General features: G+C 52.9%; 2 protein-coding genes across 13 annotated transcripts in view, besides 3 other annotated features; one reads left to right on the top strand and one right to left on the bottom strand.

Moving 5' to 3' along the window:
• NRG2 (neuregulin 2) overlaps positions 1 to 16014 on the top strand; it is a 196519-nt gene extending 180505 nt beyond the window's left edge. For 5 of the 9 annotated variants that reach the window (NM_001184935.2, NM_013981.4, NM_004883.3 and 2 more), the window contains 5 exons: positions 7017 to 7119; positions 9768 to 9891; positions 10236 to 10363; positions 10964 to 11191; positions 14098 to 16014. In NM_001184935.2, the coding sequence (NP_001171864.1) occupies positions 7017 to 7119; positions 9768 to 9891; positions 10236 to 10363; positions 10964 to 11191; positions 14098 to 14878 (1364 nt within the window). In that variant the 3' untranslated portion in view covers positions 14879 to 16014. Of the gene's footprint in view, positions 1 to 2882; positions 2907 to 7016; positions 7120 to 9767; positions 9892 to 10235; positions 10364 to 10963; positions 11192 to 14097 lie in introns of those variants that run through there. The other 4 variants (NM_013983.3, NM_013982.3, XM_047417897.1 and 1 more) reach the window with 2 other exon arrangements.
• Positions 14017 to 14076: a silencer, noted in NCBI's record as "silent region_16435". NCBI's record gives its function as "represses an Ori minimal core promoter by ATAC-STARR-seq in GM12878 lymphoblastoid cells {active_cell/tissue: GM12878}" and the evidence as "EXISTENCE:reporter gene assay evidence [ECO:0000049][PMID:35858748]".
• Positions 14127 to 14546: a silencer, noted in NCBI's record as "silent region_16434". NCBI's record gives its function as "represses an Ori minimal core promoter by ATAC-STARR-seq in GM12878 lymphoblastoid cells {active_cell/tissue: GM12878}" and the evidence as "EXISTENCE:reporter gene assay evidence [ECO:0000049][PMID:35858748]".
• Positions 14677 to 14866: a silencer, noted in NCBI's record as "silent region_16433". NCBI's record gives its function as "represses an Ori minimal core promoter by ATAC-STARR-seq in GM12878 lymphoblastoid cells {active_cell/tissue: GM12878}" and the evidence as "EXISTENCE:reporter gene assay evidence [ECO:0000049][PMID:35858748]".
• Positions 16015 to 18328: 2314 nt separating the features above from the next.
• The window catches only part of PSD2 (pleckstrin and Sec7 domain containing 2), a 101992-nt gene continuing 94318 nt past the window's right edge, over positions 18329 to 26002 (bottom strand). For all 4 annotated transcript variants that reach the window (XM_047417829.1, XM_017009976.2, XM_017009977.2 and 1 more), the window contains 6 exons: positions 25794 to 25984; positions 25557 to 25627; positions 25013 to 25170; positions 24023 to 24167; positions 22625 to 22768; positions 18329 to 20524 (listed from right to left, as the gene is read on the bottom strand). In XM_047417829.1, coding sequence (XP_047273785.1) covers positions 20321 to 20524; positions 22625 to 22768; positions 24023 to 24167; positions 25013 to 25170; positions 25557 to 25627; positions 25794 to 25984 — 913 coding nt within the window. In that variant the 3' untranslated portion in view covers positions 18329 to 20320. The remainder of the gene's footprint in view (positions 20525 to 22624; positions 22769 to 24022; positions 24168 to 25012; positions 25171 to 25556; positions 25628 to 25793; positions 25985 to 26002) is intronic.

The following is a 26002-nucleotide window of genomic DNA, read 5'->3' as shown; positions in this document are numbered from 1 at the left end:
TACACACAAGCACAAACGCATGAGCATGGGCTCATACATGCACAAACACACAATCATGTTCTTACATACCTGCACACATGAGCAAACCCATGAGCATGTGCTCACACCTGCACACACAAGTGCAAACACAGGAGCTCATGCTCACATCTGTACACATCACTGCCTCCTTGTCCAGGCAGCCTATGACTGTATGGCATGGGACATGTCCAGGATGAAGAATTTGCATATTGTCTGGTAAGCACAGCCCTGTTGGGAGTCCAGCATCAGGTTGCCATGGTTACTGGTCAACATGCAAATTTCTGGTTAATAGGACCTTCCGGTGACTCAGTGGTGCCACTCCACCCTGGCTGAGTGGCAGCCAATGAACATAATGAGTGGGAAGGTCTTGTCTTTGCTGGGGCGGACACAGCCATAGGCCCCTCATGTTCCAACCCATGCTTCCCAGTGAGAAAGCTGCCTACCCAGTGACTGGCCAGGCCCTCAGTGACCCCACCAATCATGCCAGCCACCACTCTAAACAGTACTGGCCTTTGACTCAAAGAGGAGGCCAGTTAGGAGCCCTAGAAGCTGCAGCTGCTACTATTCGGTTCCCAGAGGAGTGATGCAGAAGAAAACGCTTAAAGGGCTTTGGGAGCCCTGCTCACTTCTCCAGCTGGTCATTGTCCTCAGGAATACCCAGCCAGGCCTGCCCAGAAACTCAGTGGGCAGGAAAGCCATGGCTTAGCACCAAGGGACCAAAGGGTCTGGCCTCCAGTCTCCCTTCTGCCTCCTAATTTGCTGTGTGACCTTGGGAAAGTGTCCTAGCATCACTGGGCCCCAGCTGCCTCATCTAATACAACCACCTCGTCGGAAAGTGGGGCCCAGACCAGCTCTATGAACCCAATCCTCTTTGCGTCCCAGGTGTTGTGGTCAAGCTGGGCTGTTCTCTCAGGGCAGCATGGCTGGATAGCCAAACAATGTGAGCTCTCCAGCTGCCTGAAGGGTCCCTGGGCCACAGCATTAACTACTCAGTGAGAGGTGCGCCAGGGTTCTTTGAGAATTGTCAAGTTTGTACTGTCTACTCAGCACGCCTGACCAGCCCTGGGACACCCTGGAGAGGAGTGGACAAACTGTACTTACGGCAACTTTTTCCTGCCTCCAAGCAGTCAGAGTGGGAATGCAAAGAAACCAAAACGTCAAGGTCACTCCCCAACCTGGGATTTAATAGCAGTACAAGAATGGCTTGTGTCTGGAAAAGCTGGGAGTAATGAATGCTTCATTGGTGTGGTCTCTGCATGGAACTGGGGGGTTGAAGCCCCAGGATCTTCCTCAAGCCTCTTTAGTCAGAGCCATCACAGTCCCTGGCTCGGAGCCATGCTGCTCTCCCGCCCTTTTCCAAATGCAGAACCTTCTGGAATCCCTATCAGGAAGTAGATGAGAGGTCCAGGGATGGATAATGCGCAGGACTTCCTGCGGATTGCCACGTGCTCGCCTTCCTCCAAGGCAGATGAGAATATCAGACACAGTGTCACACCTTCCCTGGATCTAGTGGTGCTGACTATACACCTGGGGAAGCCAGAGAGTGAGCCAATCCAGGCTAGGAGGAGCGGGGCCCTGCACGCATGCTGAGCTCATGCCGTCCAGGCTTGTTCACATCTTCCTGTAGCTGTGTGCAAGCACTTTGGACAGACAAGGAAACAGGGATTATGGCTTACCCACATCCACATAGTGAATTAGGGATGAAACGGAGACTCTAGGCTTGTAGACCGATGCTGGCTGCTACATTAGAATGGTAGGTGAGCTTTTTAAAAACACTGTTGAGATTTCTGGGCTCCCACCTCAGAGCCAGATTTCCTCAGTCTGGACAATTCAGAAGCTCAGCCAGGTTTGCAAACCTCCTAGGATCCTATGCCCCAGGCTGATCCCCACGTAACAGAGAAGAGCCTGAGACTTAACTAGATTGGAATCACTCAGGGTGGCACAGCAGCAGGTCAGTGCAGAACTGACTCTTGAGTCAGGGTCCTTTTATCTAACCCTTCAATGATGTGGGGGTCTCCGTCACAGGGTCCTGAAATCACACATTCAAAACAGGATCCCACTTCCAAGACTGTAATTTGTCCACCAGTTGAGGAGCTCAGACATTCTACAAGTGAACCCACTTGTCTCTTCCTGTGAGTTGCAGTTTGCTCTTCTGGGTAGTGAAATCAGGCTCAGGCACCATGGCCCAGCCCTGTAGGCTTCTAGGGTGTTGCGGTGTCAAGTAGAGAAGTGACCTGCTATCTGGAGCCTCATCCTCTTCCTCTTCCCACTCCCTCCCACAGACTCTGAGGCTCCCCACCCGGGCTCCCAGTACGTGGACAGGCCAGCTAGGCCTGTGGGGCACAGCAGGGACATGGGGCCAGTCTGGGGACCTCATGCCTGCACTCTGAACAAAAAAAAAAAAATTGGGCCCCCAATGAGGGAGCTGGGCAAGCTGTCTGCAGGAAGGCTTGAGAGTTGAGAGTGCTGAAGGCCTGGCACTGATGCTGGGAGGAGCAGGGGGGCTCCTGAGACCCCCACCCCCACTTACCTTTCCTCCCAGGGACATTTGCCAACTGACTCTTGCGCCTCTGCCTCGCCACCAGGTACTAACCCCACAGCTCATCTCTAAAGAGCCTGCCCTGCCTGCTGTTTCTAACATCTCTCTCTACCCTCCTTGGGGCTCTTGGGGACTGGGTGTCAGGGAAGGAGCTCAGGAGGCTGGGAGGGGACACTACTAACCTGCTTTCACCTCGCAGGATGGCTGCCCGGTGTCTGAGGAGTCCTGACCAACGTTTCTGTCTCTCTCTCTCCCCCTGTCCCCACCCACCTGTCTCTCTCCCTCCACCCCTCCCTTTGTGACCCTCGCTCTTCTGCACTGCCAGAGCACCTTGGATTTGAATTAAAGGGTATGAAACCTCTGTGTGTCACTCAGCACCATCTGCGTGGCCCCTCTCCACAGCCTCCGATGCCATGTGTGCTGAATGTTTGGTTTCCTTTCCAAAAAATGGAAAAGGGATGATTCCAAAAATCTCTCCTGGCCCCATCGAGATGTCCTATCATAAACTACGTTGATTTAGCAGGAGACGAAAGAAGCTCATGAACAGAAGGGCACTCAGGGGTTCGGACCGTTGCCCTCAGTGTACCGTAGCATCCCTCACATAGGGGAGATTTATTGCTAGGAGAGCTCAGAGGGGAGGGCCCCCTCCTGAGCTGAGTGCAGACCCGCAGGCTGGCTGGACAAGAGATAGGCCCCATGTGTGAACATGGCCCCTTGAAGGGCTGGTGTCCAGGAACCACAGAAGCCTGGTTTGGAGAGTTGTGCAGAGAGGCATCCCTTTCCATTTGACTTTAGTCTTCTTTCCATTCCCCATTTCCATGTTCATTGCTTTTCATCCTGCACCAGGCCAGCAGCTGATAACTCTCTATTTATCTCTGTCCCTGCCCTGTGTCTGTCTGCCTGGCTTTGCCATCTGCTTGAGGCTGTCACTCCCTCCATGATCTGACCCCACATTGGCAAGACCAGCCAGGGTCTGGGTGGGGCTGGCCTCTAGTACCTGCCCCTTGTCTCCCAGCTCAGAATCTTACATATGTCCTCCTGCCACCTGCTACTACCACCCTCTGGCCCCCGGAAGACTCCTTGGGCTAGAAGGGACTTTATGGGGTTAGTGTTTCTGGCTCTCTGGCTTTGCACCGGGAGGCTCCTCCATAGCTCAAGTGTCCAGGCATATGACATGAGGAGAGAGGCAGGGGCTCAGAGGGTGGGGGCTCCAGTGGGGTGGGATCTCAGACATGGTGCAGAGCCTACAGTTACAGAAAGGCTGCTCTCGTGGCTGATTTGGGGAGGCCTCCTAGCCCCACCACCTATCCTCTATCAGCTGTTCTCAGTAGAAGATAGATTGCAAAGTTTGTGTGTAAGAGTGCATCTGTCTATAGCTACTGGCTGTGATGGGGTTGTGGGAGAGGCATTGAGTCCGTGTGGGGTCTGTGATGGTGGCAGGGTGCACAGGCGTGAATCTGCAGGTACGTGTGTGTTGTTGAGAGTATACACCTTGTGAGGTCTGTCAGGGCAAGATGTCAGCAGGTGGAGGGGCTGTGAATGCCTTTGTGTTAAGGTTTGAGCACTGTGCAGGTGGAACTGTGAGGGCGTGGAGATGAGTGTGAGTGTGCAGATATGTCAATGTCTATAAGGCTGGTCTGTATATTCACTCACTCACCAATGCAACAAACATCTATGGAACAGAATTTACCAGACACACAGTCCCTGCCCTCCTGGGCTCACATTCACAGGTGACAACAAGCAAACAGGAAAGACATCAGGTGGTGTTCAGTGCTGCACAGAAAATAAAATGAGGTAATGGGATAGTGCCTGGCTGGAGTGGGGTGCTAGTGTAGCGAAGTGGTCAGGGAAGATTTATCTGAGGAGGTGACATCTGTTTTAAGACCTGATGAAAAGTGGCCAACCCTGCAAACAACCAGGGGGGAGTCCTGCAGAGGGCGGCACAGCAGGTATAGAGATCATGTGGTTGGAGTGGGCTTGCCTTATTCAGTGGATGGAGAGACTTCCAGCATCTCTGAAGCACAGTGAACGCAGGGAGAGGACCACAGATGAGATCCAAAAGGAAGGCTGGGACCAAGCAGCCGGGGGCCTCAGAGGCCATGGTAAGGCTTTGGGTTGCATTTGAGTCACAGTGTGAAGCCATTTTGAGTTTCTAAACAGGGGAGTAAAATGATCTGCTTTATGGTTGTAAATAAATGTAGCTTTGGATGGACAACAGCCTGGGCTGGGGGCAGGGTGGGGAGGAGTGGAAGCAGAAAGACCCGTCAGAAGGTGACCATCTCCAGATGAGAGGTGACACCATCCTGGACTAAGTTGGAAGCAATGGAAATGGTAAGGCTAGATCAGACCCAGGATCTACTTGGGAAGCAGAGCTGCGAGGACTTGCGGCTGGATCCGGCATTAGGGTAGGTGGGAAGAAAGGGAGTAATCAAGAATGAGCCCAAGGTATGGGGCCTGAGCAACAGGAAAAGTGGTGCTGCATCCATGAGCTGGGAAGAGTCGAGTAGGAGTTTGAAAAGAGGGTAAGGAAGCAGGGATTCTCTTTGGTCGTGGCCCTTGGATGCATGAGTCTGGTGCCCAACACAGCCCAAGTAGGATGCAACTGATTAAATGCCTGCAGAGAAAAGGACATGAATAGCAAGCAGAAAGGGATCACAGATGACTGCAATAGGAAAAATGCTCAACCTCACTCATGAGTAAAATGGAAATAAAAACGACACTGAGACAAGCACAGTTCACCCCCTGGACTGGTAAACTCAACAAGTCTGATAACACCATGGAGTGAGGGGAACCAGTCCTCTCATCCATGTCTGATGGGACAGAGGCTGCCAATAGGTGCAGACTCGATGGAGGGCCATCTGGCACGATCATACTTCAGGGAGCAGTCAGGGCAGGACATAAAAATTTGAGAGTCTGCAAATAGACGGTATACAAAGTCTGAGTCTGAGTTAAATCACTAAGGGAGAGAGGGCAGGTGCAGGAAAGAAAGAAACCTGAGCCCAGGCCCGTCTATCTTCCCAGTCGGTAGAAAAGAAGAAAGCATGGCTAAGACAGAGACAGGTCAGCCAATGAAGTAGGACAGAGAGAAGAACCATTCCAAAGCCCAGGGGGAGTGGGCCCCAGAAGGAGGAGAGCAGCTGGGAAGGAAGCAAGTGACCTCAGGACTTGGCGGCCTGGAGGTTGTTGGTGCCTGTAACCAGGGTAGTCTCAGAGGAGTGATGGAGACACATGCCTGGCTGAACTGGATGAGGCATGTGAAGGGGGCGTGAGAGCTGGAGCCAGGGCTGTGGGCACAGAGCCAAGAGATGGGGACCTAGGGTGGAGGTCTGGTTGTTTACAACTCCATCCAACTGTGTGTCAGTGGGCATGGGCGTGTGTGTGCACCTGTTGCTGGAGTGTGTGGTTAACTCTGTGTGTGTGCATATGTTGTGTGTGCAGGTGTGTGTGCGTGAATGAAGGGGTCTGCCTGTGAATCAGATAGGCATAGTTAGAAATCTCTGTGTGTCTGGAGGGTTTGTAGCCCTGGGTGTTTCCTGGTGTGTACACCTTTGCCACAGGATATGCTGCAAGCCCAAGAGGTTAGGGACATTTCCCAGGGCTCTGCCAAGGCATTGAGGTCCAGCCTCCACTTTACCCTGAGCTGGGAGGAGGGGCCAGCCAGCAGGTGTGGTGGGCACGGGTGGGGTCTCCGGGCTGTAGCCTTGACTACAGCTAGCGCTGTCACCTTTTACTTTTTCTTCCTCCTGGCTTTCTCTGTTTTAGAAGGATGGGGGTTGCCCCAGCAGCAGCAGCAGAGGGTAAAGAGGACAGTCGGCCTTTGGGAGGGCTTTGAGGCCCAGCCTAGCTCAGCTCCTCAGCAACGGTGGGGGCTGTTCCTTGCACACCAGCACTTTCCTAGATGCCAGGGGTCCATGGTGCCACTGGCGGGCTTCTCACAAGCAGAGATAGCAGGCCTGGAGGGGGCCAGGGCCACTCCCTGACCAGGCTGCAGGGGTAAACAAAGGCATTCCCATGATCACTGCCAGGAAGAACAACTCCTCTTGGCCCACCAAGGTTCTTTGCAGCTACCAGGCCACTGTGGAGCAGGGCAGGGTCACCGGCCAGACTGAGCTGTCCTCCCCTGCTCTACAGCCTCGGGAGCTTTGCCTCCACTCCATCCCTTCCCATTCCCCTGCATTTTCCACTCATGTGCTCTGGGCAGGCATGGGGCTTGGGGAGGGGAACTCAGGAGGAGTTGTGTGTGACCAGATCCATGGGTGGGTGGGAGCTGCAGGGAAGTGGAAGGCAAAACAGAGCATGTAGGAGGGAAGGAACTGGCTGGAGAAAAGGGATGGAAAGGAGCTGGGCAGGACCTGAGCTGGGGAGAGCCTATGGCTTTGGGGGCAAAGGGGTCTCTGCACCACTATCCCTATGGGGTTTGCCTCCTGCCCCACCCCTCACATCTACCCTACCTCTGCAGAAGCCGAGGAGCTGTACCAGAAGAGGGTCCTGACCATCACGGGCATCTGCGTGGCTCTGCTGGTCGTGGGCATCGTCTGTGTGGTGGCCTACTGCAAGACCAAGTGAGTGTCAGTCACTCAAGCTGGGGACAGGCCAAGCCAAGGGATGGGCCTCCAAGAATGTGTGTGAAGAAGACTTTCCTCCCCCACCCCACTGGAGCCCTCTATACCCTCCTAGGCCCCAACTACCCCTCGGGGGCCTCTGTAGCTGGGTGGGTGTCGAGCCAAAGATCTGGACCAAGAAGTAGAGGCAGAGGGTCAGGGAGACAGGCCCCAGGGCACTGACGAAGAATGGTTGTGAGCACAGGCTTTGGAAGAAGACGAATCTGGGTTCAAATCCAGCTCTGCTATTTCCCATGTAACCTTGAGCAAATTGATGGTTCCTCATGGGAATGATCCTGGTATGTACCTCAAAGGACACTGTGAGGACCTGAGCAGTAGCGTGCAGCTGACCCCACAGGCTCCTGGAGCAGGTGCCCCGTCAAGTGGGCAGGTACTAGGTAGTGTTGGGGAGGAACACAGAGAGGACAGCTTCATTCCCAAAGAAAGACAGATGCCTCAAAGCACTGCCTGACCCCGCCTTGGGAGCAATTGAGACAAAAGGACAGAGAAGGCAGGGCTGGTCCCCCTCTGGACAGAGAAGAGGTAGGGGCAGAACCTTGGGGCAAGGAGAATAAGTGAACAGAGAGGGAGCCGGGCAGTCTAAGCTAAAAGACAGCACAGATGAGGGTCAACTGTACTCCCGGAGCATGGGCAGCCCAGACTAGCTGGAGCAAAGGGCCAGGGACAGGAAAAAAGCGGGCATGAGTCTAAAAGAATAGCTGGGACCCAGATGGTACCATAGGGCCTTGGATGCCGAGCTAGCAAGTTTGGGTTTATCCAGTGAAGGCTATAGATGTGCCTTTGTTGGATAAACCCAGGCTCCCTAGCTCGGCATCCAAGGCCCTATGACCTTCTGATGTGCTGAAAGATGACGGGTTTGTAACAACTGTTCTTATCTGGAAAGCAAGGGTCTGGACTGGACAGAGCCACCATTCTGGGGACTGAGCCCCTGGTCTGGACTCATGCTGCCCCATCTGTGGCATCTGAAGTCCTGCTGGCCTTGTCTTGAATGAATCCAGGACCAGAAAGTCTGGAGGAGAGTCAGGAGGGAGTTGGGGCCCAGTGAGCCCAGAGGAGACTGGGCCCAAGAGGGAAAACTAAGTCCAAGAATTGGAGAAAAAGCAAGCCGCCTGTCCTGCCCCCACTGCATTTACTCATTTCTTCAACAAACATTCAGTGCCTGCTGGACACCAGGTCCTGCCTCAGGCATACGGCCGGTGCTCTGAACAAGTGGTCCAGTGTCACGGGACACCTTTTAGAGTCACCTAACCTTGGCTGAGGAGCAGGAAGGGTTTCCCTGAGGAAGCAGCATTTAGGCCAGGGCCTGAGAGGTGAACAAGAGTTAGCAGGTGAAGAGGAGAGAAAGTATTCCAGGTGAATGGCCTGGCATGCGCAAAGGCCGGGAGGCCAGAGAGGGCTGGGCATAGTGGGGGATCAGAAACAAGCTCACCATGGAGGCAGCTAGCTGGGGTGCTGGGTGGGCAGAGAGAGACAGGGCTGGGAGAGAAACAGGACACTAAGGCCCAATAAAGGGGTTTTATTTTCATTTTTGCGGGTACTTAGTAGGTGTATATATTTATGGGGTACATGAGATATTTTGATACAGACATGCAATGCATAATAATCATATCATGTATTCTATTCATCCCCCCAGGCATTTATCCTTTGTGACCTTGAGCAAACTGATGGGTCCTCGTGGACCTTTGTGTTACAAGCAATCCAGTTATACTCTTTTAAATGTATAATTAAATTATTATTGACTATAGTCACCCCATATGCTATTGAATACTAGGTCTTTTTCCTTCTAACTAGTTTTTGTACCCATGAACCATCCCCACCTCCCTCCCAACCCCCCACTTCCTTTCCCAGCCTCTGGTAACCATCCTTCTACTCTCTATCTCCGTGAGTTCACAATGAAGGGTCTTAAACAGGGGAGGGACATGATTAGATTTAATATCAAATAAATCGAGCATTTAATATGTGCCAATCTGAAGTAGTCCCACAGGCCCTGACTCCCTAGCCACAGCACCTGTTTTATTTTCTTCATGGAACTTTATTGAAAGTATCTAGTTCATTGCTTTGTTTATGTGTTTACCATCTGCTTCCTCTACTGGCCTGCAGGCTTCAGGAGGGTGGATTCCCTATCTACCTATCTATTGTCTCTGCTCCAAAACAGTGTCTGGCACATAGTGATAACTCAATACATACCAAATTAATGAATGAGGGAGAGAGAGAGGGAGTCAGCACTGTGCTTGAATGTTTCATATACTTTTAATCCTCAATAGTCTTTGGAATGGATAAATGATCACCCTGTCTTATAGATGAGGAAAGTGAAACGTGAAGAGCTTAAGTAACTTGCCCGGGGTTGCATAGCTAGAAAGCAGTGAAGTTCTACTCTCTGGGCAGAGCCAGAGCTCACTGCCACGACGCTCAGGTCCTATTGGATTCAGGTGGTAGTGATGCTGTAGGGCAGCTTGAGTACAGGGACGAGCAGTAGCCATGGCCACCCTGGGCAGGAGGAAAAGCTGTTTCCCTAGAGAGATAGCTAGGGAAGTTCATCGTTGGCGAGTGGGGGGAATGCCAGCCTCACCTTCCCTTCCCTTGTGCAGAAAACAGCGGAAGCAGATGCACAACCACCTCCGGCAGAACATGTGCCCGGCCCATCAGAACCGGAGCTTGGCCAATGGGCCCAGCCACCCCCGGCTGGACCCAGAGGAGATCCAGATGGCAGATGTGAGTGGCTTTCCTGGGGCCCCCTTCTGAGCCCTCAGTGGACAGCCAGCCTTCTCATGCCCCCTGCAAGGATGGGCCAGGGCAGCAGCCAGCCTATCCCATGGCCAGCCTTGCCTGCTAGGCACTGCCTCACCAGGATGGCTGGCCTTGGTTTGCTCACTTCCATGAGGAAGGGGTGGGGGTTGATTTGCTGGAGCCATCGCTGCCCCAACATCAAGTCACTCTCACACAGTGGGTCTCCCCAACCAGGAGCTCAGTCAGTGCTCATCACTTCCCTGTCCCCAACAAGAAAGAGTTCATTTGGGCCCCAGTCACTAACTCTCGCCCAACTCTGTCTGTTCCAGTATATTTCCAAGAACGTGCCAGCCACAGACCATGTCATCAGGAGAGAAACTGAGACCACCTTCTCTGGGAGCCACTCCTGTTCTCCTTCTCACCACTGCTCCACAGCCACACCCACCTCCAGCCACAGGTAGGCACCACCAAGGCCCATGGAAACTTGTAGACTCACATACTTCATCTGGCGCAAAGTGCCCACTTACTCCGACATCCAGAGCTATTCAATACCCTCCCCTGAGCTTGCCACAGGAATCACAGCACACCTTAGCCTCCTCTCCAGAACTGCAGAGGCCAGTCCACACAGCACAAAGGCTCAGACAACTCAAAAATAACATGGCTGGCTCCCTTCTTCCCTCGGGAGCACCAGGAAATAGTCAGGGCCCTCACATACTGGCCCCTGGGGCTGGGCTTCTGAGATAGGTAGCTAAGGACCACGGTGGTGGAAAGGTCCCAGACAGGGGGTCTAAGGTAAGGCTGGGGGGAGGCTGGTTGCAGGAAGGAAAGAAATGGGTCTCTGCACATTACAGCTCACCCATCTATGGGACCCCAGCCCTCCTTCTTCCAATATTGGGGTTGGGCATTTGCAACAATACACATCACCCCAGAGTGGAGAAGGGCATTGAGCTAAGGGAGCTCGAGGTGGAAGAAGAGCCAGGGAGGTCCATGGGACCACACCTGCTGGGCCGCCCTGCCCCTTCCTGACCCCTCGTCTCACCCCATCTGGCCTTCCCAGACACGAGAGCCACACGTGGAGCCTGGAACGTTCTGAGAGCCTGACTTCTGACTCCCAGTCGGGGATCATGCTATCATCAGTGGGTACCAGCAAATGCAACAGCCCAGCATGTGTGGAGGCCCGGGCAAGGCGGGCAGCAGCCTACAACCTGGAGGAGCGGCGCAGGGCCACCGCGCCACCCTATCACGATTCCGTGGACTCCCTTCGCGACTCCCCACACAGCGAGAGGTCAGTTCCTACCCCCTGACCTATTCCCCGCTTAGCCAGAGGGCTGGCACCACTGGCCCAAGGCTGACCCTTAGGGCCCCTCAGAAACACTCCAAAGAGCCTCATCTCCATTTTTCATATGGGAAAACAAGGTCCTAGAAAAGGTGAAATGGCCTGCTCAGAGCCATCGGCATGTTAATGACAGACTGGGACTAGAGTTGGGCCAGTGGACCCTGGTGGACAGTGACCATCTAATTTAATTGTCCTCCCAGGACACTTTTCACACTAGAAAAAGGACATTATTAATAGTTACACTGGAACATCAAGAACAAACAGGCAGCCGGGCGCGGTGGCTCACACCTGTAATCCCAGCACTTGGGAGGCCAAGGCGGATGGATCACCTGAGGTCAGGAGTTTGAGACTAGTCTGGCCAACATGGTGAAACCCCCATCTTTACTAAAAATACAAAAATTAGCCAGGCATGGTGGCACATGCCTGTAATCACAGCTACTTGGGAGGCTGAGGCAAGAGCATCCCTTCACCTGGGAGGCGGAGGTTGCAGTGAGCTGAGATGGCGCCACTGCACTCCAACCTCAGCAACAGAGCAAGACTCCCTTTACAAAAAGAAAAAAAAAAAAAGAACAAACAGGGGCTGTTCTGGACAAACCAGGATACATGCTAGAAGTTCCATGTCCCAGCAGGAACAGAAGGAGACACGAAGAAGGAGTAAACTGCAGAGTGGGAGGGGAGGTTGCCTTTGAGGACACTGACCAGCACAAGATGGACGTGAGCCAAGAATGATGGCAGGCCTTGGCAGTAGCAGCAACAAGACCCCAGGGTTCAAGGCCTTGTTGGCTTCCTAAGCAGTGGATGTAGTAAGAACCAGGAAACGCCCTTTCTTCCCTGACTCCAAGCCAGAAGTCAAGGGCCAGCACCCCTGCCACCTTGCTCAGCCCTGAGTGGCCCTCAGCAAGTGGGGTCTGTAGGAGGTGAGCAGGGAAAGATGAGTGGTACTAAAAACTCCACACCAGGGAGCAGGGAGAGGAGCAGATATTCCCTTGCTCTCAACTCAGCCTACTCCATGCCAGGCCCTGTGCTGGGCAGGCCTGGCTGGGAATCCAGAAGTGGCCTGCCAGGTTCCTGCTCCTGAGGAGCTCCTAGCCACAGAAACAAACCAAGGAAGCTTACAGCAGCCTATGGAAGGTGCTAAACATGACACCACACCAGGGCAGAGAGACCCAGTCTGACTGTAGGCTCTGGGAAGTAGCCAGATTTTCTAAGCCCAGCTCCACCACCTGTGTGATTTGGGGCAGACTGATCACCTCTGTACCTTGTTCCCTCAGCTGTAGAACAGGGAGAACAAAAGCTACTATGCATGGTTCAAGTGAAGGCCACCTGAGATCATGTGCACAGAGCTCTTTGTCTCATCCCTGGCATGGAGCTGATGCTCACTAGGTGTAGCTATTTATGAATCGTAACCACAGCAATGAGACTCCTTAATGGGTGGTAGGAAGGGGAGAGGCAGGAGAGCAGGAAGAAAAGCATTCTAGGCACGGGGAACAACTTGAGCTGTTCCAACAGAGGCACTTAAGAACAGGGCTGATGAGTGAGGTGCCTGGAACAGAGTGGGCTGTAGGGAGCAGAGGAGCTGGGCCTGAACAGGCAAGCTGAGGCCAGACAGACTGACCCTGGGTGGGTAAACAGGAAGACCGGCTTCAGCAGAGCTGTGACTTTACAAGATTGCTCTGGGAACTGCATAGAGTGAAGGAGGAGAGACCCTGGGGTGGACCCAGATGACCACATGTGAACAGTCGGGCCCAGGATGGGGTGGAGAGTGTGCTTCCGGAGAAGGGAATGGGTAGGACTTGGTGGTTAATCAGATGTGCCGGTGGGAAAGGGAAGAGGGAGGAGTCAGGCGATTCAGAAAAAATGATAATGGGGACTCCAGGCTGGTTCCAGAGAGCAGTGAGATGCCCAGCTGTGCAGTTTGGAAGGGAAGCGTGGAGGTGGGTGGCCCCTGTCCTGAGGTGACAACGGTGGGGCAGAAGACTGATGGGCTTACAAGGGGGATGTGGAGCACAAAAGGGGACAGGTACCCGGGATCCAGCCTGGGAGATATTAGCAAGGCCAGACTTCTGAAGGAGCTGGTGGTGTGGGGATGGGTCTGTAGCCACAAGCAGAGACACCTCATGGGATCTTGGTACTCCCCTGAAGCAGGTTTTGACTTCACTGTAAGGAGGAATATTTCCCTCACTGAAGCCATCAGGGCATGGGAGGAATTGTCCCTGTGGGGCAGTGAGGCCAGGTCACAGGGGTATCTGAATGGAGACTAATGGCTTCTGGAATTGGGCAGTATGAGTCCTGGTTCCTGACTAGCCTCAAGTCACATCCCAGCTCTGCCACTTCTTGGCTGTGTAAATCCTGAATAAGTCACTTAAACGTTCTGAGTGTTACTTTCCTGCGTGTAGAATTAAACGTTCTGAGTGTTACTTTCCTGCGTGTAGAATGGGACTGGCGGAAGGGTCTTACAGAGCTGCGGTATTAAACCAGATGGAACATGTACCCCAGCGTGAGCCTGACCCCCTGACGGTGAGCATTCCCACAGCAAGTGACCATTCATGAAAGCTTACCAGGGTCAGGCACAGGGCTAACACATCCCACTGATACAATCTGGAATCATCCCAACAGAGCTATGGAATCAACACCATGGTTATGCCCGCGTAACAGATAAGGAAACCGAGGCTCGGAGAGGTTTAGGAAATTGCATAAGGCCACTGAGGGTTGCTGCCGTCATTCTTGCAGGCGGGGTCTCGGGCAAGGTTAAGGCAAGTCTGGGTCCGCCCCTCCCACCCTACCCCACCCCCAACCCCCCCTCCCCCGCGCCGGCCCGGCCTGGCCCTGGCCCATGCCTCTGCCTCTCCCCGCAGGTACGTGTCGGCCCTGACCACGCCCGCGCGCCTCTCGCCCGTGGACTTCCACTACTCGCTGGCCACGCAGGTGCCAACTTTCGAGATCACGTCCCCCAACTCGGCGCACGCCGTGTCGCTGCCGCCGGCGGCGCCCATCAGTTACCGCCTGGCCGAGCAGCAGCCGTTACTGCGGCACCCGGCGCCCCCCGGCCCGGGACCCGGACCCGGGCCCGGGCCCGGGCCCGGCGCAGACATGCAGCGCAGCTATGACAGCTACTATTACCCCGCGGCGGGGCCCGGACCGCGGCGCGGGACCTGCGCGCTCGGCGGCAGCCTGGGCAGCCTGCCTGCCAGCCCCTTCCGCATCCCCGAGGACGACGAGTACGAGACCACGCAGGAGTGCGCGCCCCCGCCGCCGCCGCGGCCGCGCGCGCGCGGTGCGTCCCGCAGGACGTCGGCGGGGCCCCGGCGCTGGCGCCGCTCGCGCCTCAACGGGCTGGCGGCGCAGCGCGCACGGGCGGCGAGGGACTCGCTGTCGCTGAGCAGCGGCTCGGGCGGCGGCTCAGCCTCGGCGTCGGACGACGACGCGGACGACGCGGACGGGGCGCTGGCGGCCGAGAGCACACCTTTCCTGGGCCTGCGTGGGGCGCACGACGCGCTGCGCTCGGACTCGCCGCCACTGTGCCCGGCGGCCGACAGCAGGACTTACTACTCACTGGACAGCCACAGCACGCGGGCCAGCAGCAGACACAGCCGCGGGCCGCCCCCGCGGGCCAAGCAGGACTCGGCGCCACTCTAGGGCCCCGCCGCGCGCCCCTCCGCCCCGCCCGCCCCACTATCTTTAAGGAGACCAGAGACCGCCTACTGGAGAGAAAGGAGGAAAAAAGAAATAAAAATATTTTTATTTTCTATAAAAGGAAAAAAGTATAACAAAATGTTTTATTTTCATTTTAGCAAAAATTGTCTTATAATACTAGCTAACGGCAAAGGCGTTTTTATAGGGAAACTATTTATATGTAACATCCTGATTTACAGCTTCGGAAAAAAAAAAGAAACAACAAAAAAAAAAGAGAGATGGGCCAATTTTTTGACTCTTTAATAGAAACCTATTTTGTGGTGCCTTTTGCTGTATGCTCATCTGGGGCTCCGGGGGACAGGTCTGGGTTGTGGGGTGCTGAGAGTGACAGCTGGGAGAGAAGAGGTGCGGGTTCTGTTGGGGGCGAGGGTGGGGGGCGGTGGGGGGTTGGCCCTAAGGAAGAACTGAGGACGGAAGTAGCTTTGCTCCCAGGCAAGAGCTGAAGTTCCCGACCCCTGGGAGGAGAGGGCCAGGACCCTAGGCTTGGAGCTGGAGCTGGGGTAACTTCCAGGGGGAGATAAAGACACAGCTACCCGAATGGGGAAGCCCTGGCTACTCACAGCTGTTAAAGGAGGGGGGGCAGAGAAACGTTTCCCCAAGAGCCTGAGCCCAGGGAGGTGGCAGCTCTGCCAGGGGCCCAATGTTGGCGGCTCCTGTCCCCCACAGCCTCCAGGACGCCCCTCCGTCCTCTGCAGCACCTTCGTTTACAGGTCGTCTTTTCTATTTTACACCTGCATGTCCTTTGCATTTCAGATTCTTTAGATTGGATGCATGGTCACGCTGGGACCGAGAAGAGCCACTCGACAGTGTATTCCCCTTTTAGCAATAAAGTAACACCATTTCCTTCTCACAGGCTGCCTCCTAGCCCCCAACCCACCTATGACATCCACTCGTCTCCAGTCCTGCCCTCCCACCCCCAAAAACTGGGTCCACTGCTAATTTGTCAAAAAGGTAATTGTTTAAAAAAAAAAAAAATCCCAAACAGAAACAGATGGGAATCCTGTCCTGAAATGTCTGAACACCTGACTGTTGACACTTGAACATTTTTATATTATAAATAAAATCAGAAATAACTCCTGTTTGACTGTGTGTGCCTAGCCTCAGATGAGGAGGGAACTCAGAGCACGAAGTCCCATGGTGGATGTGGATGATGCTGGCCTGGAGGTTGGAGGGGGCCAGGGCAGTCCCTGGAAGGAAGTGACCCTGTCTCCGGTCTCTCCGGCCCCAGCTCACAGGACAGACTCCAGCCCTCCTCCCGCTTCCAAGAATATTTACAAGGTGTCCCCACTGGCTGCTGGGGAACCTGGCCAAGGGACTGACACAAATTGCTCTGCTTCAAACTCAGCGTTGGAACTCTGGCCCAGTTCCTGCCCTGGATCTATGGGCCGGACTGAGGCAACAGTTGCCGGCCTAGGTGGTTGAGGAGGGATGGGTTGTGGGGTTGGTAATAGCACAGCCAAGGCAGGATGACCCTTGGACCCTGAGGCACGTCACAGGCAAAGTCTGAACATGCAAAGTGGCATAACAGTGGTACCCTCAGCTGCCAGGACCACAGCTGCTGCAGTTCATAAGCCCACAGGGTGTTGCTCTTTCCCCAACTTTATACCCCCTCAGAGCCAGGACCTGTCTAAACCCGCAGACCTGAGAGAGAGTACATGATTTCAGTATGGAGAAGGCAGATGGAGGCCCAGGTTCAAAAGCCTTTCCCCTCATCAACTAATTTAGTAAACCAGTGCCCAGCACCCGGAACTATTCGGTTCCAGCCAGACACACGGACGTCTTCCACCCAAACAGCTGAGGTGGTTGGCATGCACACTCGGCTACACGTGTGTGTGTGTGTGTGTGTGTGTGTGTGAATCCCACTAGGATGTGTGTAGTCAGAGACCTATAGGTGGGAGGGACAGAGAGGCTGCGGGTTGAGAGGGCTTTGGCATCAACAGGGCGTAAGTTCAAATTCCAGCTCTGTGCCGCCTAGCTGTGTGACGTCTCTAGGCCACAGTTTCCTTGCTGGGAAATGGGTGATGTAAATACCTATTCCAAAAGGTTGCTGTGGAGATTATAAAGTACCCAGTGCTGATGCTGGCACGTGATAGATGCCTATTACATGGCTGATTTGATGGTGGTGATGACAATATCCTGTGCCTTGCATCCTTGTATCACACAGCCAGAGTGACAAAAACTAGATGAGAGGGAGTCGATGGAAAAAAATAAAGAACAAATTAAAGTTATTGTATTTATTGTGGGGGTGCTGGGAAAAAGTATCTGCTACAAAAAATTTTAAAAAGGAAAATAATGAACTCAATCCTGCATAAACCTGCAACTCACTGGCCCCTCCCGGCCCCCTTCTGTTGATCTCATCCAGGCCCCTCTGCTGTCTCTGGTTTCGTAGTTGACTTTAAAATTCTCTGAGAGCCAGTTATTCTTCTCTGTGACTTGTGGCTTCTGTAGGATCCCAAATTAACTCCATATGAACTCTTGGGGAACCCATTGACCTTTGTGTGGTCCAGCTTATTGTCCTCGTGTGACCTTTCTGGGGGCTCTAGGTTGCTGTTGCTTTCTAAATTTTAGAGTCAGAAGCCACCCAATGAACCCACCAATCTCTATGTGGCCCTCGGTTGATTCTGAATGACCTCTTGGTGAACTCACCGATCTTTGCATGAGCATCGGGTACCTTCATTATATGCTTTGAATCCTACAGTACCTGCCATATGTGCGGAGAGTCCAAGGCCAGAACCTAACAGAGTTCTTTCCTCACCTGTCATCCACCCATTCATTTCACAGGTATGATTAGGACCCGGGAACACATGTGGCCAGAGAGGCCCCTTCTCCACTCTGCCTCTCAAACCTCTGCCTGGGGAAGCCTTCCCAGTGGCCTTTCAGGAAGAGTCGCAGTCCTGTCAAGCTACTTCCCTACCACCGCCCCGTCGCTGGAACACGTAGGACGACATTCAGGCAGCTTCGCAAGTCAGAGGCTTCATCCCCACTTTCCCAGTTCTTTCTTTTCTCTTCCAGGTCATTTTTTGGCTTCTCTTTCCAGCCCCTCCCAGAGGCCCAAGTGGTAATGGTAACTGCCTGTTCTTCTCCTCACGAAACTGTGAGCCCCACGAGGACAGGCAGCCAAACTTCCTCCCACCACCGTATCCCCATCACCCCGCCCAGCGTGCAGCACACAGTTGGCCCTCATTGAATGAGAGGATGAAGGCGCAAGAGACACCGTCCTCAAGGGGCAACCCCCAGAAGTCCCTGAGCCCGAGGCCACTTCCCAGGACCACCAGGTGGCGCAAACCACTTATTGCATGTCACCAGTCCTGAATTTGAACAGTCCTAGAAAATGGGCATGTTGGAGGCAGCAGTTGTGGGTGGTGAGGATCCATTCGAATGCAGGAAGAACTATTAGAACTTTGACTTAGATTTATTTTCATCTCATCTTTTTTAAATTTCTATTTTTGTGTATGTTTTATAATGTACATAATATTTTAGTACAGTAGTACATGTATATAATTTACAAATAAATAATTATACAATTAAGGAAGTGAACTAAACATTTTTTTACTGATGGGAGGCACAACCCATGCTCAGGAAGCACATCTGTCCACAGCTGCCAGAGCTCCTGGCTCTGCTCTCCACTCACCCGCCCTCGGGAAGTGAAGGGTGGGACACTGACCCCGAAACTCACAGAACTTTTGAGGCAGCATGGGGAAAGTACAGAGAGCTCTTTTGTGGTGCCACATGGCGTTTTCAATTTCATTTAAGTGAACATTTACTTCCTCTGAGCAAAACGAAGGGGCCAGATGGTTTGGGTCTAAAACACACTTCAGCTGATCCAACTTAAATAATCTGAATTTAAATCACTACATCTCTCCACATACTCAATAGCCCCTTGCCTCAAATGTGAGTGGGCCTGTAAAGTTAGATACTTAGTTGCAAGCCTGGCTTATTTTATTAACTAAGTGTGTTACCACTGACGCCAAATTCCTGGCCAAACTACAGTAATCTATTTAAACAATAGAGAGGATTCGCTCTTCATAGCCACACTGAATGTGCCATCACCCCCACCCACTTGTCAGTTGGAGAAATGCAGGGCTTAAAGGTGCTAGCTAATCCGTGATCGTCAAGTGGCAAATTTCTCCACTCTTCCCAGATGTGGCCTTGGCTAAGCCTTTCTGATTCACTAGACAAATGAAAGAAATAGCGACAGAAAAACAATCAATAACTTGTCATTCCACCTTTTCCCACAACCAAGAATTAAGGGCTTCCATAACCGTCCTCCGACAAGCATCTTTGGGCTTGTTGACAAGCAGCCATTTGCGAGACAGAGTGTCTTTTATTCCTATAGCAGTAGATCTGTCCAAGAGGCCACCTCTGGAGCTCAGAGACCTGGCAGCACCAACATAAAGACCCAAATATAAACAGGGCCGTGGTCCCATCCGACTCACACCCCAGGATATCCATGGGACAAACGGGGCGGTGCATACACGCTCTATTTTTTCCAAAAGTATCATCGGTAAGAGCAGTATAAGTCACAGGTCAGCTGGAAGAGGGAAAAACAGGGCAAGGGAGGCCAGCACTGCCTCCCCCTTCCCTCCTAGAGCGTCAGGAATGCCAGGGGGCCAGGTGCAGCCATCCTTCCTAACAGGGGAAGCTCCAAAATAGGCTTTTCCTTTATCTGATTTCATCCTCTAACTGATTCCAGTTCCAAAACCATCTTTCAGGGGTTCCTTATGTATATATTATTCTTATAGATGTATATTTGTGTCTGTATAAAAAGGAGGCAGTGTGATCTCAATGGATGAAAAGAAGTGGATGCACATGTGATGGAGTCAGCTTTACACTGAAAGGGCACAAGCCTGGGTCCCAGATTATTGTGATGTGAGGCAGGAGACCTGGGCATGGTTCTGGAGGCTGCTGGGAGGAGAGGATGGTGCTGGTGGTCGGCAGACCTGCTGCTGGTCAACTCAGAGGAAGGAGGAGGAGAAAGGGTGGGGTTCCAGCTGAGACCTAGAGTCAAGACCTGCCCTCACACACAAAAAAGATGAGGAGAGGAGCTTGATGAGAAGAGAAAGACCTGGGAAGACAACAGCCCTTCCAGCTTCTCCAGCGAGGTGGTGTCTAGAGCATGCACACAACTGGCCTACAAAATGAGGCTCCATGGTGGAGAGGAAAACAAGGGCCAGGGAGAGGGTCTGATGCCCGGAGATGCCCAAGGACGCAAGGAGATCAACGCCACAAACGGCATCTCCATCTCCTGGGCCCACAGGCTTTCTGCACCCCTCTAGCTGCCCATCAACTGACTGGAGCTTGGTCCAAGTGGCCCCTGGCTGGAATTGTGCTCACTGACCCCACTGGAGACATCTGCCCACCCTGGGGTCTGCAAATCCATGTCAGCTAAGTATCAGGCCCAGTGGCATCCTTTGTGGTTTTGCTGCCAGTCACATGGCCCTGGCTGAGGGCAGGGCTTGAATGTGTCTTCCGGAGAGAAGGGTCATCCCCTTCCAGAGTGGCCAGCCGGGCCTCAATCCGCTCCAGATCATCTGAGCCCACTTTGATTTTCATAGCCAGGAGGTGGATATAGGTCTCATAACGGCTTTTCTGGGGAAAGGCCAAACACAAGGTCAAAAGACAACAAAATAGGAAAAAAGTATGTGCACCTTATATGACAAAAGACTAATTTCCTTAATATGCAGAGAGCTTTCACAAATCATTAAAAAGAAGATGAACAGTCCAATTAAAAAATAAACAAGGGACATGCACATAAACTTCATTCATAATTTGAAAAATCCAAATAATTGGCAATGATTTCTTGTATATGACACCAAAAACCCAGGCAACAAAAGTAAAAATACACAAATGGGACTATATCAAAATTGAAAACTTCTGTACATCACAGGATACAATCAACAGAATGAAAAGGCAACCTACAGAATGGGAGAAAAATATTTGCAAGTCATATATCTGATAAGGGTCTTGTATCCAGAATATATAAAGAACTCTCAGAATGCAACAACAGAAGACAACCCAAAATTTTTAAATGGGCAAACGACTTGAATTTACATTTCTCCAAAGAAAGCATACAAACGGCCAACAAGCACATGAAAAGATGCTCAACATCATTAGTCATTAGAGAAATGCAAGTCACAATGAGATATCAATTCACACTCTTACTACTATCGAAAGAGCAGAAAATACATGTTGGTGAGGATATGGAGAAATAGACAGAACCCTTGTGCCCTGCTGGTGGGAATGTAAATGGAGCAGCTGTTATGGAAAGCTGGTGGTTTATCGAAAAGTTAAAAATAAAATTACCACATGATCCAGCAAGACCATTTCTAACTATAAACCCAAAAGAGTTGAAAGCAGGGTCTTGAAGGGATATTTGTATACCCATTTTCATAACAGCATTTTTCATAATAGCCAAAAGATGGAAGTAAGCCAAGTGTTCATTGATGGATAAACGGATAAACAAAATGTGGTGTGTACATACAATGGAATATTATTCAGCCTTATCCCATTTATGCCTAGTGTTCCATTATTGGGACATTAAGTTCATGGGAGTTATTTATATCATACTGCTCAAGGTCATCTCCAAGGTCTGATTTTTCACCAAAAAAAAATTTGCAAACTCTGACATAAATGGGTTAAAAAGAAAGGAAATTCTGACACACGCTACAACATGGATGAACCTTAAGGACATTATGCTAAGTAAAATAATTCAATCACAAAAAGATGAATTCTGTAGGATTCCACTTAGAGTAGTCAAAATCATAGAGGCAGAGAGTAGAATGGTGATTGTCAGGGGCTGGAGGGAGGGGAGAATGGGAAGTTATTATTTAATGTGTACAGAGTTTCAGTTTGGGAAGAGGAAAGAATTGTGGAGATTGGTTACACAACAATGTGAATAGACTTAACACTACTGAACTATACACTTAAAAATGGTGAAGATGGTAAATTTTATATTACATGTCTTACTGCAATTAAAATGTTTTAAAATCCAAATTAAAATAGTAATGAGGCCGGGCGTGGTGGCTCACACCTGTAATCCCAGCACTTTGGGAGGCCGAGGCAGGTGGATCACCTGAAGTCAGGAGTTCGAGACCATCCTGGCCAACATGGTGAAACCCCCATATCTACTAAAAATACAAAAATTAGCCAGGCATGGTGGCATGTGCCTGTAATCCCAGTTGTTCGGGAGGCTGAGGCAGGAGAATTGCTTGAACCCAGGAGGCAGAGATTATAGTGAGCCAAGATCGTGCCACTGTACTCCAGCCTGGGCGACAGAGTGAGATTCCATCTCAAAAAAAAAAAAAAAATAGTAATGAGATACTAATTGTTAAACCTATCAGGTTAGTGAAGATTAAAACGTTTTGCAATGCCCAGTGCTGGTGAGGGCATGGAGAAATAAGTACATTCACAAATTATTAAAGGGGTTAGAAATTGGCACAAACATTTAAGAGGAAGGTTTGGCAGCATCTGAGGGCCTTCATCTGAGCTTCTGCCCCTCACTGCTGTCAGGGAAGGCTGGCACTCTGGAAGGACTGGGGACTAAAGGTCAGGGGACCCTGTTCCCTCCCAGCTCCCACATCAATGAGCCCCTTTATCACTAGGCTTCACCTCCCCAGTCCCACATCAGGCCAGGCAGGAAGGAGAAAGAGCAGGGCACTGGGCTTTGCAATCCAGTCCCCCAAGGCTCACCTCGAAGGTGAGATAGTGCTCCTTCAACCGGTACTCCTCGGCCTCCTTGGACTTGATGCCCCTCTCGACTGGGTGACACCTGTGTTCGGCCAGCTCCGCAGTCAGCTGCCTCAACTTATTCTCATGAGACCGCAGTTGCTCCTCCTGCAAAGACAAATCCTGGACTGTGAGGCCTTACTCTCAGGATGTCACGGAGTGGCTCAAATCCTGTTCTACCAGGAGCTGCTCCACCAAAGGGAAATGAAGGCCTAGCCAGCATCACCAAAATGTGGGGACAGAGCCAGACTCTGGACCTGAGGGCATGCTCTTCCTCCCACCTCCCTTCCTCCTCCCCCAGGTCCCATCAGCATCAGCTTTCCTCGATGCCCCCCAGCCACCCCACCGCAGGCTTGGGAGACAAGAGATGCTCACACTTATATGTGCACATAGACAGTCCCTGACACAGACACACAATGACCCCCACACAAAACCCAGCTCATATGCACTCCCATGTGCACACACAAACACCCCGGACCAAGGCCAGCCTGGCCCCGCTATCCCCTGCTCCATATGATACACGCGTTCTCTTACATTCATGCGCAGATACACGTAATGGTTGCAGACCCAGGATCACACCCAAAGACAGGCGGAGACACTGTCGCTGATGGGCAAACGCACACATCCCACCCACTACAGGCCAGCCAGGCCCCCTGGTGCTGTGTGCACATGCATGCATGTGTGTATGAGTCACCACCTGTGTGTTTACACATGTGAATGTGTATGGTTTGTGCACATACATGGTGTACGTGCATTGCACAAAGGTTCTGGGCAGAAGCAGGAGCCCAGGAGCTCAGTGGGGTGACCCGGGACAAGGCCTAGTGGGAAAGGCCGCTGGCAAAGAGGAAGTGTGGGGCTTCCGCTGCCCTCTACCTCTCAAGCTCCGGGCCACCATTTCTCCTGTCCTCTCCAAAGAAGCCCTGAGAACCTGCAGCATGGGTGTGTTGGGTTTTCTAGGATTACAAATAAAACATTTAAGAATAGGTGAGAGCAGCAAAAGAGCACTGGATGAAGCGTCAGCCAGGTGTCACCTGTGCAAGCTCCCTGTGACACACGGTCTCTTGCATTTGTGCCCAGGTGCACACAAGGCCACCAACTCTCGGTCACATCCACAGGGATGCACTGGCATAGAGGCAGCTCCATGCCACCTGCCACAGCTGTGGCCCCTGTGTGCCATGCCTCGGTCTCCCTGTTGATGTGGGGGTGGGGTGCTTGGGATGGAGGGAACAGGTGTCCTTCTCTGGTGTCCTTCAGCCCAGGATCACCCAGCCTAGAGACAGAGCTGGGGTGGGGCTGCTGGATGGGGGCCTGGGCTGAGGATGGCAGCCTGGGGAGGCAAAATGTTGACCCAGGAACATGTACCTGGCAGAGGCGGGTGGTGCAGGAGGGCAGCAGGGGCCGACAGAACTTCTTCATGGAGCTGACAGCGGCTGGGAAGGCCGGGGCAGAGAAGATGGCTGCCACCAGGTTGATCCTGAGGATCCAGGACAGCATTTCTTCCTTGCTCCTGGGGACAGGAGGGGGAGAGGGTGCCGGCCTCTCACACAGGACTCCCTGTCCCCTACTCAGCATCCCGTACCCAGCACTGGGCCTGGCACTGAGAAGGCACCAGTACCTCTAGATGGGTGGATAAAGGGGAGAGGGAGGACACATGGGGGCTGGATGGGCCTGGCCAGAGCTATGCACGGAGCTCCCTTTCTGTCCCAGCTTCCAGGCACACCCGAATTCTCATGTGAAGATCAAACTTCCCAGGTCCACAGCTAGTGGCCCTGGAGTGAATAGGTGGGAGTGACTGTGGACTGGGGATCATCAGAGGCAATAGCAACTGGGTGACCCCCACAGCCCTCCTGCCCTCCCCCGCTGCCTGCCCAGCACTGGCACTGTGATCCTGAGGCCTCACCCACTAGCCTGCCTCCTTGCAAGCTCATGTGACATGTGCACCCCAATCTCAAGTCACAGGAGGACGAGAGGTGGTAGGACAGCCTTACAGGTTACCTGGAGGGTGCATCTTTCCCACACTTAAAGTGAAGGATGATTCGTAAAGATGCCACCTGCCCCACATTGCAGACTCCAGCGCACTCAGCAGCCCCTGCAGGGCTTGTTAAACACAGTTGCTGGAGCCATCCCAGAGTTTTGGGTTCAGTAGGTCTAAGGTGGGGCCAGAGAGACTGCAAATGATGCTGAGGGGAACCACACATTGGGAACCACTGCTTTGGAGGGACCCAGCTGTCGGTCTGTGTCATGTGGATACACATGCTCTGTTGCTGACTCACGGGAAGGAGAGGGGTTGTGTGCCGGGTCACTGTGGCCCTGGGCCCCAGGTGGGAGTGAAGGGCTCCAGCTCCTACTCACGGTGCCTGGAAGAGGAATACCCTCCAGTCGGCTGTCTTAAGCTTCAGCACGTTGGACTTCTTGCTGTAGTCAGAGGCCCTGGTGGCCAGAGCGTGATGCACGCGAATGGCGTTCTTCAGGTCACCCTCCGATAGAGCTTTGTCAGGCCTGTACTCATCCTGGGTGGGGCAGGATGGGCGAGCTAGGGTCACTGACCCACACCTTCCACTCTCCCCTCCCCTCACTGCTCTCTGTCTAACCCTACGGCTCCCTTAATTTTCTGTTCCTGCTGCCTCACCCACCCCAACAAGAATCCAGGTACTCCTCCCCTTACCCCAGTTTGTCCCAGAGGCCTGAACAGGCCTCATGCTGAGAGTCCACTGAGCCACTGGGCACCAAGTTCTCCCAAAAACCTCCAAAGCCCTGAGAGGGCCCAAGTCTGGGGAAGGACCCAGCATGTGCCTGAGCCCCAGGTCCTGCCTGGGGCTTCGGGGTGCCACAAGGCCAGGGCGGGATGGGACTGAGCTGGCCCTTTCTGAGTAAGGTCTCTGGGGCAGTCTCTCACCTTCTGCAGGTACAGGATGGTCCCTTTGAGCACTGCGTAGAATTTCTTCCAGCCACGCCTCCCACGGGGCGCTGGGGAGGAGGGCACTGGTAGTGTGGCTGCAGCCACCCTCTGCAGTCTCTCCAACCCCACCTCCCACTACGTGTCCACCTGTATGTTCGTCCCCAAAGAGTGGCCCGTGGCGCCCCCCTCTGTGCCAGCCTCCCTCCCATGCCCCTCTCCCAGCCTGACACCCACTCCTCTTGCCATCCATGTCAGCGTGAGTCTTCCGGGTCAGGACGCCGTGCTTGTAGGTGGTGGCACTGAGCGCCTGTGGGACATCCAGGAAGGGGTTGCCACCATCCAGGATTCGCGTCACCTTCTTCGTGCCTGTCCCGAACTTGTCATCCACCAGCTCAGACAGGGATTTCCTCAGCTCATCCTCATCACTAGGGAAGTACTAGGCC

Source organism: Homo sapiens, chromosome 5 (genome assembly GCF_000001405.40).
Source record: "Homo sapiens chromosome 5, GRCh38.p14 Primary Assembly".
Lineage (NCBI taxonomy): Eukaryota > Metazoa > Chordata > Mammalia > Primates > Hominidae > Homo > Homo sapiens.
The sequence above is the reverse complement of the archived record's forward strand: the minus strand, read 5'-3'. Positions and strand labels throughout refer to the sequence as shown.